General features: G+C 36.5%; 1 long non-coding RNA gene across 1 annotated transcript; it reads right to left on the bottom strand.

Moving 5' to 3' along the window:
- Positions 1-1,827: 1,827 nt before the first annotated feature.
- On the bottom strand, positions 1,828-10,156 carry LINC02053 (long intergenic non-protein coding RNA 2053). The gene is made up of 2 exons (NR_132416.1): positions 9,872-10,156; positions 1,828-2,478 (listed from the first exon to the last, which is right to left on the bottom strand). It is a non-coding gene; the product is annotated as a long intergenic non-protein coding RNA 2053 (long non-coding RNA).
- Positions 10,157-15,758: the final 5,602 nt, after the last annotated feature.

Below are 15,758 nucleotides of genomic sequence, written 5' to 3'. Positions count from 1 at the left end.
AATAATCACTTGAACCTGGGGGGTGGAAGTTGCAGTGAACTGAGATCATGCCATTGCACTCCAGCCTGGGCAACAAGAGTGAAATACCATCTCAAAATAAATAAATAAATAAAAATTAAAAAATGAAGTTTCAGTTATGCAAGCTGAGTAAGCTCTAGGGATCTGCTGTCTGTACAACATGGTGCCTATAGTTAACAATACTGTATTGTGCATTTAACATATGTTAAGAGGGTAGATCTTATGCCAAATGTTTGACCATAATAAAAAAATTACCACGTGAGAATAGAAAAAAAAAAATTAGAAACTTAAGAAATTTCAAATATATGTATTTGAACTATATGTGTGTGTATATATATTAATTTTTACTTATTTTTTATTTTTATTTTTTTTTGAGACAGAGTCTCACTGTCACCCAGGCTGGAGTGCAGTGGCGTGATCTTGGCTCACTGCAGCCTCTGCCTCTCGGGTTCAAGCTATTCTCGTGCCTCAGCCTCCTGAGTAGCTGGGACTACAGGCACGCACCACCACGCCCAGCTAATTTTTATATTTTTAGTAGAGACAGTGTTCCCCATGTTGGCCAGGCTGCTCTCAAACTCCTGACCTCAGGTGATCCGCCCGCCTTGGCCTCGCAAAGTGCTGGGATTATAGGCGTGAGCGACCACACCCAGCCCAAAAAATATTTTTAAAAGAAAATTATTAATGCTTACTATAATGACTTCTAAAGTTTCAGTATGCTTCTGTCGAAGTTTGTCTACAATCAGTTATGCCTATACATTTCCACAGATGAATAAGAACTGTTTGTCCCTCATACTTGTTCCCTAAAATATCTGGAGCCCTGTTTTGTCCACAAGACAGAATATTGGCACTTAAGGCACTAATGCGGGAATTTAGCCATGAATTTTCAAAACCAATTGGTGAATCTTATGTTTTAAAGAAACTTTTTGGTGAACAAACTAATTCGTTATTACTATAGGTTGTCTACCTTCTCTATCTGTTTTAAAATTAGGTTTCCAGAAAGCTATTTAGCTATATATTATTATTTCAACAGTTTGGAGAAATAATTTCATGGACTACAGATTTAGTATTAGGTATGCTTTTAATTTTATAGAAGGACTTGGTTTACAAAAGTACGTATTAATTTACCCAGTATTTCTCATTTATAGACATATGCCACAAATTCTTCCTTAACATTAGTGCCAACAAAACTTCGTTTCTGAAAAATGATTAGTATGGCTTATTATATCAAGTAATCAAGTAATAAAAAGATTGTATAGAAATGAACATCTCTTTTTTTTTTTTTTTTTTTTTTTTTTGAGACTGAGTCTCGCTCTCTTGACCAGCCTGGAGTGCAGTGGTGCGATCTCAGCTCACTGCAAGCTGCGCCTCCCGGGTTCACGCCATTCTCCCGCCTCAGCCTCCCGAGTAGGTGGGACTACAGTCGCCCACCACCGCGCCCGGCTAATTTTTTGTATTTTTAGTAGAGACGGGGTTTCACCGTGTTAGCCAGGATGGTCTGGATCTCCTGACCTCGTGATCCGCCCGCCTCGGCCTCCCAAGGTGCTGGGATTACAGGCGTGAACCACTGCGCCCGGCAGAAATGAACATTTCTAATGCTGTCATTATATATTCGAGTTTTTTTCTTTTCATTTTAGCTGCTAGGAAATCCAGAGTAAATATAGTGTTCCCAATTTTGTTAATTTGTTTGAAGTGGTATAGTAACATCTGTCACTCTCCTACATTTTAGTAACTTACCTGGTTTCTAACTGCACATTTGTGACCTTTCTTAAGTTCTTTTTGAAAATAAGAGAAATAGAAGGAAATCTTATGTACATATATACACGAAAAACATTTTATTGCCCTTTCAATTGAAGTGGTTTATTACTTTAAACCATTTCAAGAGCTTATCGATAGATTCTAAGGTTCTCAGCAGGTCTTCCCTCCATGCTGTTTTTTTGAACTGTGTAGTCAGCAATGCCCAGATTTGGTAATTGTAGTTATCAAATGAATTGGATTGAAGCTTTACAAAGCACAGCAGCTACTCAAGTTAAAGCTTCAGAGTGAGGATAGATCATGTTGATGCTAAAACCCAATACCCCTTGTTCATTAAAGCATTTAGAACTGGAATAGTCTTGTTCCTTGCTTAAAATCCAGTGTTGAGAAAAGGCAAATGATTCAAAATGTTCAGTGCTCTTAGACTGTTCGTGGTTTTTAAAAAATATTTTCCTGGTAACTTGATTTTTGCCTGCAAAGAAATTAACAGATACAATACTAGTTCACTCCTTGCACAAGCCTGTCTGGTAGATACTGAAGTGAGAAGCTTAAAAAACAAAACAAAAAAAAGTGTATTTACAAAATGGGTGAGTGTAGTGTCTGTGACCAGCTGGAGAGTGCATAAGTCTTCAAAGCGAACTCCAAAATTCCTTCACTGGCTTGGCTGACATTCTTCTCTTATGAGGATTAGTGCCAATTTATATCATGCTGTATCAAATAATCAAAACAAATAAGCAGAAACTGACAATAATAACAACAGAAAGAGTACTGCCTGGTGACATCTAGCTACTACCTTTCCATTTGTCTTAGCAATTTGAAATTACACATACATAGTTTTTTTATATTTAAAAACTGAAGCATTGTAAGCATGGTGAAAATTGTTTTTATTTTGTTTTTAACAACTTGCATTAGTTTCCTTTTGCTGCCATATCAAATTAACAAAAACTTAGTGGCTTAAACATTAAAAATTTATTATCTTACAGTTCTGGAGATCAAAAGGCTGAAACAGCTCTCACTCGGGTAAAACTAGGGTGTTAGCTGCATTCCTTTTGGAGACTCCAGCACCAAATCCATTTCCTTGCTTTTTCTAGTTTGTAGGAGCTGCCCACATTTCTTAACTTCCTTCCTCCTTACTCCATCTTTGAAGCCAGCGACATTGAGTCAAATCCTTCTCATGTTGCTATCTGTCTCATCCTCCCTCTTGTACTTCCCTGTTCCACTTTAAAAGACCTTTGTAAATACACTGAGCAGACCAGATAATCTAGATTAATCTATCTCAAAGTCAGCTGATTAGCAACCTTAATTCCACCTGCAATCTTTATTCCCCTTTGCCATGTAACTTAACATATTCATAGGTTCCAGGGATTAGAATGTGGACATTTTTTGAGAGGAGGATTCTTTTTCCTATCTTTAAATTCTTATTCAGTACCTCCTTCTCGAAATAAGTTGTTGTTATCCCTTTGGTATATTCCTTCCAGATCTTTTTCTTTGCACCGACCAAAATGCATTCATAGAAATCTGTAATTTTTCACTTTTTCTGTGTTTGTCTGCATCTTGCTTTGATTTCACAATATGTCTTAGAAAGGATATATTTGAACTCATACTTACTCATCTATGAGTCATTTTAACTGCTGTATAATATAACATATTTACTTATATTTTTCTCTCATTTTTGAAGAATACTATAAGGTTGGGAACTAACATGATTTGGGATACCACCTTTATCTTATTTAATATCTCTTCATTTACATACATGGTTCTGCTTCAGGATGACCTATTGTGTTTACTGATTTGTTCTTATAAACTACTGTATTATATTAATTTCTTTGGTTTTAGAACTTGTCTTAATGGCTAACTGGTATAGACAGATATCTCTCTTATTTATATTAAAAATGATTATGACTTTTCTTGTTCATTTTGAATTTTAAAAATTTTGCCAAAAACCAAAACTCTTATGGTATTTTGATTGGACTGGATTGAATTTATAAGTTAATCCTGGGAATACTGATATCCTTCCAAAGGAATCTTTCTGTCTACCAATATATTTCTACTTATCAAATCATTCTTTACATATTTCAGTAAATTTTTTTCAGTTTTGTTCATAAATATTTTGTACTTTTCCTGTTAGGTTTATTCCTAGGTACTTTGTGGTTTCTGTTGCTATTGTGAATAGGTTTGTCTGTTGATTCTCTTGTGTTTCCTAGGTTAACTCTTAATATTGCCTGTAAAAATTGACAGTTTTATCCATTCCTTTTCAATACGTATACTTTTTCAACTTCTTTATTTATTTATTCACTCCTTCCTGTTCCAGATCTTATTGCATTAGCTGGAGATTGTATTACAATGTTGAACAGTTGAATGACTGTGTCATCCTGGTTTTATTCCTGGCTTTAATGCAATGCCTTTAGAGTTTCAGTGTAAAAAATGGTTTGCTAAAGTTTCTGATGGTTACCCTATATAAAATCAAGAAGTTTGCTTTCCATTCTTAGTTTACTAAAAGTTTTAAAATATGCTTTCGGTGTTTGATTTCTATCAAATATATATATATGTATTTCAAAAACCTAATATAGGACAACTTAATGTATAACAAATAGAAAATTATATAACAAATATGTAATTTAAGTTGATTTAAGTTGTTACATATTTTACATGATTTAAGTTGTTACATATTTTACATGATTTAAGTTGTTACATAATTTTATTTTTCAGTTGGTTAACATCATAGATTACATGGTACGTTTTGTAATGTTTAATTATCTTTGTATTTCTGGGATAAATCCTGCCTGCCTATTCCTTATGATTCTTTTACTGACTGCATACAATTTGTTAACATTTGGTCTCAAGTTTGCATCTACTTTTATGATATTTGTCTTTCCTTATGTTGACTTTCATCTAGTTTGGTAGCAGAATTATACTAGTCTCAGAAATGAGTTGAGGGTTTAATATCACATCTCTCAGTTCATTATTTTTACCTTTTCTAGTCTTTTGTCAACTGAATGAACTTTCTGAGAACTATTTTTCCCTCTGGTTTAAAAAGTTTTTAATTTCATATTACCTTTTAACTTCAAACAGACATACTTGAATTTATATTTTCTACTAATGTTTAGTTAACAAATATGTATATCCCTTTTCTAAACTACTTAATACTTAATAAAGTATACCAAGCATAGTTTAATTTCTCTCTGCCCACCACCAAATCAACAAGGTATCTGTGTTTGTCTTCAAACATTCTTCCTTCCTCCTATTATGAGGAATAAACTGCCATTACTCCTGTCCAGAGCCCAAACTGCCCACTACTAGAACCTGACAAAGTTCAGGTACTTTATTTCTGCAGTTGTCCTCCTTGCCTCCTACATTATCAGGGTTGATCTTTTTAGATCATTGCTATACTGTTATATCTCTCATCTTAAAAAAAATCCTTCCTTCAGCCCTCACCCTACTTCTGCCTCATTTCTTTGCAGCCTTTTACAAAACACTCCTTGAAAGAGTTGTCCATACTTGCCATCTTATTCTTCTTCTATCCAATCTGGCATTTGTTCCCACATTCTACCAAAATTGCTCTTGTCAGAATCACCAGGGCTCATCACCAGTGATCCGTACATATCCAAATACAAAGATCAGTTTTTTAGTCCTCATTTTGTTTAACCTCTCATCAGTACTTGGCACAATTGGCAGTTGTTCCTTTTTGAAACCCATTATTCACCTGCCTTATGTGATATCACTAACATTTTGTTTTATTTCTATCTATGGACTGCTTTTTTAAAAGATTCTTTTGCTGAATTCCTTTTATCCTCCCAACTCCTAAATATTAGAGTACCTCAGCTTTGTCCTATGGCCTCTTCTCTATCCACAGTCATTGCTTAAGAGATGCCATAAAAGTCCCATAGTGTTGTTATCTATGTTCTGACAATATCCAAATGTATCTCCAACCCAGATCTACCCCTTTATCTCAGACTCACAATTCTAGTTGCTTACCTTCCAGTTGCTTACCCATCTAATTGGAGACATATATATATATATGAAATTGGATGTCTAATGAGCATCTCAAGCTTAACATAGCCAAAGGTAGAAGTGTAGTACTATACTTTTAGAGATGATAATACTGACATCAATAGACATTTCTTAACTTGGTAAAAATCCTTATCAGGGAGCCATTATTTAAATCTACTTCCTTCTAACTGAAAGACTTTTATCTTTTCATTAAACTATGTTTGGTGTACTTTAATAAGTGTTAAGTAGTTTAGAAAAAGGATATACATATTTGTTGACTCTAAGCATTATATTCCATTATAACCCCATGGATTGTAAATTTTATAACTAAATATATCCATGTTGAATTTGTGGGATATCATGGTTCTACAGGAGGTAGGGGAGGCAGTGGTGAGGAATGACCTCTCCTACCTCTTATGACCAGAGATAAAGAGGTGTGTGCATACAGTTTGCATGTACTTACATTCTGCCTTGTGTGGGGTGCTGTCCCTTCCAAAACTCTTGTTGAAATTTAATTGCCATTATACCAGCATTAAGAGGTGGGCTCTTTAGGAAACAATAAGCCATGAGGGTTTTGCCTGCTTGGGTGGGTTTAATGCCATTACAAAAGGGGCAAGCTTGACCTCCTATTGCTTCTTTGCCTTTCTGCCTTCCACTACGTGGGAATGAAGCTTTTCTCTCCTTCAGAGGACACAGCAATTAAGGCACCATCTTGAAATCAGAATTGCCAAACCTGTCTGTACCTTAATATTGGACTTCACAGCTTCCAGAACTGTGAGCCTACAGATTACCATTTATAAATTACCCAGTCTGTGGTATTCTGTTAATATATCTTTTCCAATAACATGGACATGTCAGTCACCTCTCATGTACATATATATATACACACACACACACACACACACGTATACACGTGTGTACATATATATGCTTGTGTGTGTGTGCAGTTTTGGGGTTTCCTCCAAAATTTGAATGTGTATATAGTGTTCAGATTTTTTCACACAGGAGACTTTCATTTGAGCATATTGTTTCACTAGTTAAGGGCATCTACTTATCCTCAGTAAAGTACTTACTACTACTAACTGCCTGTATTGCAGCAATAGGCCCAGCTCCCTTTGAATGTTAAAGGGTTGAGAAACACCCATTAGCCAAGAGGGAGACAAAAGATCTCAGGGTTGATGAAATACTCCTATTCCATAAAGACAGGCTAAACTCAGCAGAACCATTTTAGCAACTATGCATTTAAATGAAAACCACATCTCTACTACACTGACTTTGATATAGTTTATTCTTTTTATTTGAGTCAGTAATGTTCTACAGAGTCATCACAAACAATTGAATTAGCAAATAGTGAACTGTTGCTCATAGGGAAAATGTAAGGTTAAGTTCCTATGAGCCTCTGATCGTAATATTTTTGCCAACTGGAATGCCATTTGCATTATATAGATTTGTTTGCCAGAGTCCTTGTAAAGCAAGCCAGTCTAATCAGCATTGAAAAACTGCTTTTCTACATAACCCTCTACTTGTATCACATTTAGCAGTTATTTTAAAAATTCTTCTGCACCTTCCTGATCTGCGGAACCCGCCTTGTCTGCAAGCTTAGCCTTTTTTGACTTTGTATTGCCTTTTAAAACATGTGAGCCAGCCAACCTAGCTAAGAAGGGTTAAACACTTTCCTGACTCTGGGTAATATGATCATAAATTTCTTTGGCTTTCAGACTCACAACAGTGTTGTCCACTTTGTTTTTTAAAAATAGGTTGTCATCTCATGAATCCACAAATTTAATTACTTTTCCTCTTTTTCATAATTTCATCATTCACTGTAGATATTACTTTAACACTTCCAGAGTGGTTTCATAAACAGATCAGCAAATTTTCTATTTCTTTTTGTAGGTGTCCTGTGTTGCTGATTCATTATCACTGAATTCATGGCCAACAGTCCTATAACTTATGCCTGAATGAAGCTTATCTGACACATCTATTTTCTCCATAAGGCACATCACAGCCTTCTTTCTCTTAGAAACATTAGACAGCAATCTAACACTATGCTTGGGGACTATTGTAAATAGCAAAGTCACCAGCAAAAATCACAACAATGTGAAAAGTGTGGCACTAAATAAACCACAGAAAGGACACTTGTTTACAGTATGAGAGCTGAAACAGGGAAACAGAGGGTTTCTTTGTTCTGCTTCAGCTGGGCATATGAATGTCAGTGGACTCCAATGTTTTGCTATTCTCTGCATGTCCGTGAATAACCATGAACACATCTTTGAGTATTGGTTTGGTGGTTACAAATAAATTTTAACAGGTTGGTGAATCTGTAACCATGGAATCTGTGAATAATGAGTGCAAGTCATGGCAAGGAAGTAATCTATATTCTTTTCACGCCAATGTGATTACTGAATAGACCCCTTTACCATAGACTCCAATTGTTCTTTGTATATAAAATGTTCTTAGAGGATTGTTATGCAAGGTAGCAAAGGTCAAGTTTTCATCACTTGGTACACATTAAGGAAAAGGCTTTATTAAAAAACTTAGGATGTGGGAACCAGTATGAAGGGGAGTACAGACCCCTGTCCTCTCATCATCTTACAGAAAAGCAATCTGGGGCAAAGGGCCATATGTAGGAGGGTTATATTCAAGAGACGAGGCCCCTGAAAGCAATCTTATGAGTTGGGAGTGGGGTCATAGAGGGACAAACTATTTGGGTGCCAAACAGTCTGAGTATAGATGGCAGCTATTTTCAGATTTCTGTGAAATTCAGCTGCCCAGCATCTGGAGAACTTGAAGCCTGTGGGAAGTTTCACACCCTTCTGCTTGGGGAAAAGAGTCACAAGTCTGAGGATCTGAGTTCAGGTGTAGCCTTTCCCACTGAGAGAATGCAGGAATCTGAGATCCAGACAATGCAGAGTGAGCTTCCATAGTTGATTTAAGTCATATTTTCTCATTGCACCATTATGGTAATTGAATTGTTTGTGTTAATTTGATTTCCAGATTGGAAGAAGTTCAATATTTATTTTTAAATGTAATTTTAAAACTATATTGTCCATCTTGTCTTAATTTTTTTTTTCTGGAGACCAGGTTAAATTGATCTCTGGAAACCTGACCAGAGAATATTGATATGTACTAGTCTATATTTGAAACTGCTATAAAGTACAGCATTATCTGTGTTATCTATGTGTGTTACATGTTGGTTATATAAATCACATAACTTCCTTTAAAAATTATACAAATTATTCTACCCTTTCCAAAAAGTACTTCTCTATTCAACTTGGACAATGAGCTAAAGAAATCCTCAATTAAAAAGCAACCTAACCTATCTAATTTTATCTAAGTTTCTACCACTTTTACTTTCTTTAGCCTTAAATTTAAAGGTTTAAATTTTTAATAGTTTAAAATTTTCAAAGAAATAACCTTTTTTTACTTGTAAATCTCTTTAAAATTATTTTATTAGAGATGGTGAGAAGATTGACCAGGACCCATTCTCAGCCAGAGCCACAGATTCTATACACTCCAAAGGAAGATTCCAAAATATTCCCTAAATGATTTTTCCCAAAAACTTCAGCTTTGAAGGACATTTATAAGATAATCATTGTTAAACACAGAGTGTCATGCAATGATTTTCTTGTATTACCCATTTTTATTACTCTTTAATCTGGTTAACTTTCTAAAAACAAACTTAAGCCAAACACACAAAAATAAGGATTTAAAATATAAGTCAATTTATAACAACAGATCAATTACAATGGTCCATAAAAATGAAAAAATATATAACTTAAACAATTCTTATAAGCATAGCCCAAATTCTAATCTCTCTTGTTTGTTTTGCAAAGAGGTTTCAGAAACATTTAGTTATTGTTTTACAAATGGAAATGCTATGTTTCCATTTAGGAGGAATGAAATCCTGAATATTAATTTGAATCCAGTTGACTTTCATTCTTCTATAAACTCACAGAATCTCAAAGTCTAGAGTTTGTTATCTGTAAGGACAGAGATTTAAGCCACACACATTAAAAATTTTTTTAAAAAGTTTAAAATTTTGTCTTCTAACTAGCACTGCACTTACAATTTCAAAACTTTTCTTCTTTAAAACACTTTATTTGCAACTAACCTTTTTTAAAGGTGTTCCTTTGGAGAGGATCAATAAAAGCACAGCATTTCTCCACTCTCACCTCTTAAAACCTTTGGCTTCCTACCAGTTTCCCTTGTTGCTCAGTCTTTTTATTGTTGACAATTCTCAGAGGTTTCTGTTATGTTCCTCTGAAGGCATGTCCCTTGTCAAAGAGGCAGGCTACTTTCTGAGGTGTCTTTTATTTTTCTTTAGCTGCCCCTTCATTTTTGATATCCTTCATTAGGGCAGCCCATTGATCCAGGTGCAAGGCCTGGGTAATCTGCTAGACATTCTGATAATCATCTTGACTCATGCTGGGGTCACAATGGTACCCACAGAAGCAGCCATGACATAGGGACAGCATAGCTATTTGCCAGTTGTCATAGCTAATATACTACTATTTACAGCCGCTCTCCTTGGGGACTAGGAAGAGAAAGGGAAAACTCTTTCCTTCTTTTGTCATTGAAAATGGCATGACATGGCATGGCATGGCTACCATTTCTGGCTTCTCTGTCATTTCCAGTACCAAAATGGCCTGAGCAGAGTTTACTATGATGATCTGCTAGTTCTCTGCAAGTTTTCTTCTCTCCCTTGGTCTTTTTAGACTCTTATCACTTTGACCACACCTTGCTTGTAGACTCTTTTTGGTCGTGGACCTTGGGCATCTTTATCTTTTTCCACACTTCTGAAGATAACTCCAGTTCTATTCATTCATGAGGATATCCCCAGATTTTTTTAGGGCTGTGAAAGTTTCTCTCTATTTTGGATCTGTCTCTGTAATAAAGCAAATGTTTACTGGTTTAAATGTTGCATCTCCTTCCAACACCCCATCATGGGCATTAGTCTATCCCTGCATTTTTTTATGCCAGGCACTATTCTAGTTTCTCTGCATTTCCCTTAGTGCAGGTCAAGTTGTGTTGCTAGTGTCTCTGCAGAAACAACCTTGCACCTTGCCTATGTGCCAATTTTTTGACCTCTTGAGAAATTTAAGTGGTGGGTTCCAGTCCCCAACCCAACTTAGGTCACAAGGGGAATGGACTTCCACCATTTCCAGTTGTGGTAAGAAAAGAAATTATGTAAAATGCTTAAGCAACACTCTGGTTTAAGTATTATTTTTCCTGGCAGTGGGACTAATGAGTAGAGTAGGTGAGATATCATGGTGCTGAATAAATACCTGGTAATTAGTAAATACCTGACTTAGTATTCTCATCAACAAATGTACATGGAGAAATAACAGATATGCAATGTTCCCCAAAAATATCTTGAATATGCAGACCAAAGTGTGCCCTTTTATTATATATAATCTAATATTCATCCTTCAGGATCTCATTGTTTTTGGTACAAACCTCTTCAAATCTCTCCAGACCTTTGTTAAAAGGTGAAGATAACTAGATCACATATAGCTCCAACTCTGATTACCAATTCATTTGCAAGTGGTTTTTCCCATTATGATGCCCATGACATGGTGAAGGAGTCTATTACCAAGGAGACTGACTGTGGACCTTGAGAATTTCAGCCCTGTCTGTAACATGAGGTCCGATAGTGTTCTCAGGGCACGTCAGGATACCTCCTGGCAATATGTTTATAAATAGTCTTCAGCTTCTCCTTTGTTTTTTTTGTTTTTTTTTTTTGAGATGGAGTCTCGCTCTGTCACCAAGGCTGGAGTGCAGTGGTGCAATCTTGGCTCACTGCAACCTCTGCTTCCCGGGTTCAACGATTCTCCTGCCTCAGCTTCCTGAGTAGCTGGGATTACAGGCATCCACCACCATGCCCAGCTGATTTTTTTATTTTTAGTAGAGATGGAGTTTCACCATGTTGGCCAGGCTGGTCTCGAACTCCTGACCTCATGTGATCCACCCACCTTGACCTCCCAAATTGCTAGGATTACAGGCATGAGCCACGTCACCCAGCCTCAGCTTCTCCCTTTAAAATCTTTTTTTGATGTGTTTCTCTAAGATGTTCCTGATATATACATGTTCCTTTGAATTCACTGACTTTCCACATTGCATCTCTTCTAATTCTGAAACTTTTTATTCTTCCATGCCATGGATTTCCCCTAATTCTCCTGATCAGTATTGTCCATTTAATATAATCAATGTGGTAAGTACTTTGGTAGAAGTGTGACACAATAGCTATATGGAATTGGAAAGAGGAATTATTGATTCCATAAAGGAAGAGAGGGATCCTGAAGGATTTCCTAGATGACCTCACATTTGAAAAACATTTGAAAAATGCATGCAATGGAAGACTAAGGAGAACACTATGAGAACAGCATGCACAAGTTGTTGGGGGAAACGAGGAGTACTACAGTGTAACTGAAGTAGGGACAGGTTGGAGGAGAGATGTCAGGGCAGATAGCTAAGGGCCGTGAACCCACGCTAAAGACTATGAACTTCATATGGGGTCTGGAAAGCAGTTGAGTAAGTAGTGAAATATATGTATTAGAAACAAAATCCTAGCAGAAAGAAGTAAAAACAGATAGGAAAAGAGGATAAACTGAGGTAAGGAGACTAGTTAGGAGATCCTCATTCCTCAGAGAAGTGAGTCTGCTTCCTTTCCTCCATGCCTGCTCCCTCCTGGTGCTGTAAAGCAGTTCTGGTCTCCCTAAACAGAGCTCTGAGGGAAGGAGGGATGTTCGTGGCTTTAAATATGTGCCCTGAGTAAGGGTCTGGCACTAGGGTGGCTTCCATAGTGGGAGCTTACAGCTGTAACCTTATTGGGAATACAGCACCTAGCATATCATAGGTGCTCAAAAATATCTGTAGAATGAGTGAATAGGGGGGAAAAAACCTTTTCTGGCATTATCACACTCACAAAGTAAGAAGTCCCCTTTTACATTCCCCCTTGGGATAAATTATATAAAAAAGATTCTCTTAAAATCTAGGACTCATTTTTTTCCAGTCAGTCACATTTCCTTGAAAATTGATTCTGCACCCTGCCATGGAGGCCACCTGGGGGTTAGAAATAGCATGGGCTTCAGAGCCAGGCTGATTCAGGTGCACATCCTTACTTAGTAATTGCGCGAACTTGAATAATTTTGTAACTTTCTGATCCTCCATTTCCTCATCTGTCTACTAACAATGAGGAAAGGGTTGCAGTGAGGAAAGAGATAATGTCTGTAAAATGCTTATGCCAAAATGTGGCTGCAGTTCAGCCATATGCACACAGAATACATGTGCAGGAGCTCTGAGATCCAGTCAGAGAGAGAGCTGCAGAATTATATAGCAGGGTGGCCATTGCACCTCTCCGCTCCTCCTCTACTCCAGTCTTGGACCACCTCTACTTAGGCTGCATCTGAGGCCAATGCATGTACTAAGTCAGAATCAGACAGAACTCATCCCATGTAGCAGATATAAATCTCAGTCCAAAAAAAATGAAGAAAACCTCATTGTACAAGAAATATGAACTTTATATTTCCATGTGAATTACATTTTTCCAATATGAGACTCAGTTTAATGTAAAGATAGAAAAAATTTCAGAAAATGTAACATTCCACCTCACCAGCTGCCTTTATCTGGGGATGATATAAGTTACTGGAGACTTACATAGAGCCAAATCATTGGGAGAGTGCATCTAGTTTTGTATAGTGTCAGTTGCCCACATCAGCATTTGATCGAATGATCACATTCCCCTTTGGTCTTAGTGGTAACAGTTGGGTCCTTCTTTATACCCACCCCAACAGCTGACTGTCTGGGCCATTTCTGTTCTGCTCTGTGAACAAAGGAAACATTTTGTACCCCTGAGCCCTGTAGTGTCACAGAGATCTCAAAGAGGAGACCATCTGAGGACTGCCTACCTGCCCTGCACAGCCATGTCTTCTGCTTGTACATCGTGGGGAAGGAGAGAACCCTTGAGGTGAGTCTGTGTCCCAATTACCAGGGATAGTCTAGAGAAGCAGCAACACTCCAGGGTTCTCTCCTTCCCCTCAATGTACAAGCAGAAGAGATGGCTGTGCAGGGTAGATACTTGCCTGTACCTGGAAGTTTAGGCATGATCTCCTCCCTCTGACCTCTCTAATTGTGGCAACACTTCCTGTCTATTTTAGTCATTTAACTTTACTAGGTTTCTTATGGATTGTTTTCTCATCATAATTCTTTCGTTTTGTCCTCTGAGTCCAAGGTTTTGGAATTCAAAAGCCAGAAATAAGACTACTGTTCTCTCCTTTCCTTTTCCTTGAGCCACTGAATAAGTTTGTTGCTGAATTGTGGGTGGAGGGAGGGAATCAAGAAATATGTGTAAATGCAAGGGGAAACAGTTTATTTAGTCTTAGCCACTTCATTTTTACATTTTCTCTGGTTAAACCATCCCACTTCATTTTTTTCATATTTCACTTTCTCTTGCCCTTTGACACTGCTACACATTGCTTGAAATAATTTTCTCTTCATTGCCAATAGTATCCTTCTGAAACTGACCATGTTAAAGTAAGAAACAAGAATCTCATCTACTGGGCTGTTCAGCATATCATGAAAATAGTTTAGTATTAAATTGACCAGTCATTTGTTATTAACATACATGTATACTTCTCTATGGACTGTGTTTTAAACGACTGTAGAACTCACTCTGTAATCGTTAGATTTGGGGCATTGTTAGGACAAGAACTTAAGTGCTTTCTTTTGTCCAGTTGCTGTTATAATATTGCATTTCTTTGTCTAAAATCTAAGTCCAATTAGGAAAACCAGATAAATGCCAGTATGATTTTTTAAGGGTTTCAAATTTTTGTGTCTCTTCATAAAACAGAATTTTTAGCAAATTTTATTGCAATAATTTTGTTTATAAACATTTTTATAAATGTATCTCACAGAAACGTTTGATAGTTTGTTGAGAAAAGTGTAGTAATGTATTTTAAAATCTGGTTTTGTAAATGAATAATTCAAGTAAAATGGGAAATAGGAAAAGAGCTTGGGAAAGGAATAAGTACAACTTTTGGTCTTTTTATTAGACTATCATAATCAGATGATTCCTTTATCAGAGTGGGATGTCTGTGTCTGAAATAAACCTGGGCCTCCATTGGAATACTTGGAATGTAAATCTTAAACACTCATTTGTGAAGACAGTCAGTCAAATGTTCTTTCAATTTGATGTCCAGTTGATTCATAAATTTACTCATGATTTATGATGAGTCATGTCAAAAGGCAGTAATGTCATTGAACTTGAATTTGATATTTTGGCCTGTGATCATAGACTAAGTTGATTTTTTTTTTCTAATGCATAATTTATCCTAAAGATTTACTTCATGCAGAGATTCCTACATATTCCAATAGCTCTAACTCTTTTCATAAAGAACCTAACAAAGCAGGTTAGTGAGGCAAATTACAGGACTCTTATCAGATGAATAAACTTATAAGATAGACCATTTGTGCACAGAGATGTGCGTAGCTTCATCTTTTATAATCAACTTATAAAAAGTCATCATGTTGATGTAAGGACTGATCTAATAGGACACATAAGCCTTCCTGTAGCTAACCCCTTCTCAGTACTGACACAACCTGAGAGTGAGAAGATAATGTAAATGGAAAGAGCCTTAAACATCATTTAGTCTAACTGCCTTGTTTTACAGGCACAGAAATTAAGGGGTTTGACAGCGTGCCAGTGGACACACAGTGATTAAACCTGACTAAGTCAGGTTGGGGTTCCTGACTTCCTGCCTCCAAGCCTCTGACCCAATGCAGCATTTTCATTTCCTGCTTCTTATATGATCAGGACAGATTCATCTACAGTTTAATCATCTCATTCATGAAAAGTGCAGAAGAAAGAGCTATGAAATTGTTTTACCCTTTTAATTTTAGTTCAGTTAAAACTTTCCTTATGATTAGGATTACAAATTTTTAAAAAAATATTCTAGACACTTTTCATTATAGAACAAAAGGACAGTTGAAAATGCATTACT

The sequence above is a fragment of the Homo sapiens genome, chromosome 3, assembly GCF_000001405.40.
Source record: "Homo sapiens chromosome 3, GRCh38.p14 Primary Assembly".
NCBI lineage: Eukaryota > Metazoa > Chordata > Mammalia > Primates > Hominidae > Homo > Homo sapiens.
Note: the sequence above shows the minus strand (reverse complement) of the source record. Positions and strands in the feature narration are given on the sequence as shown.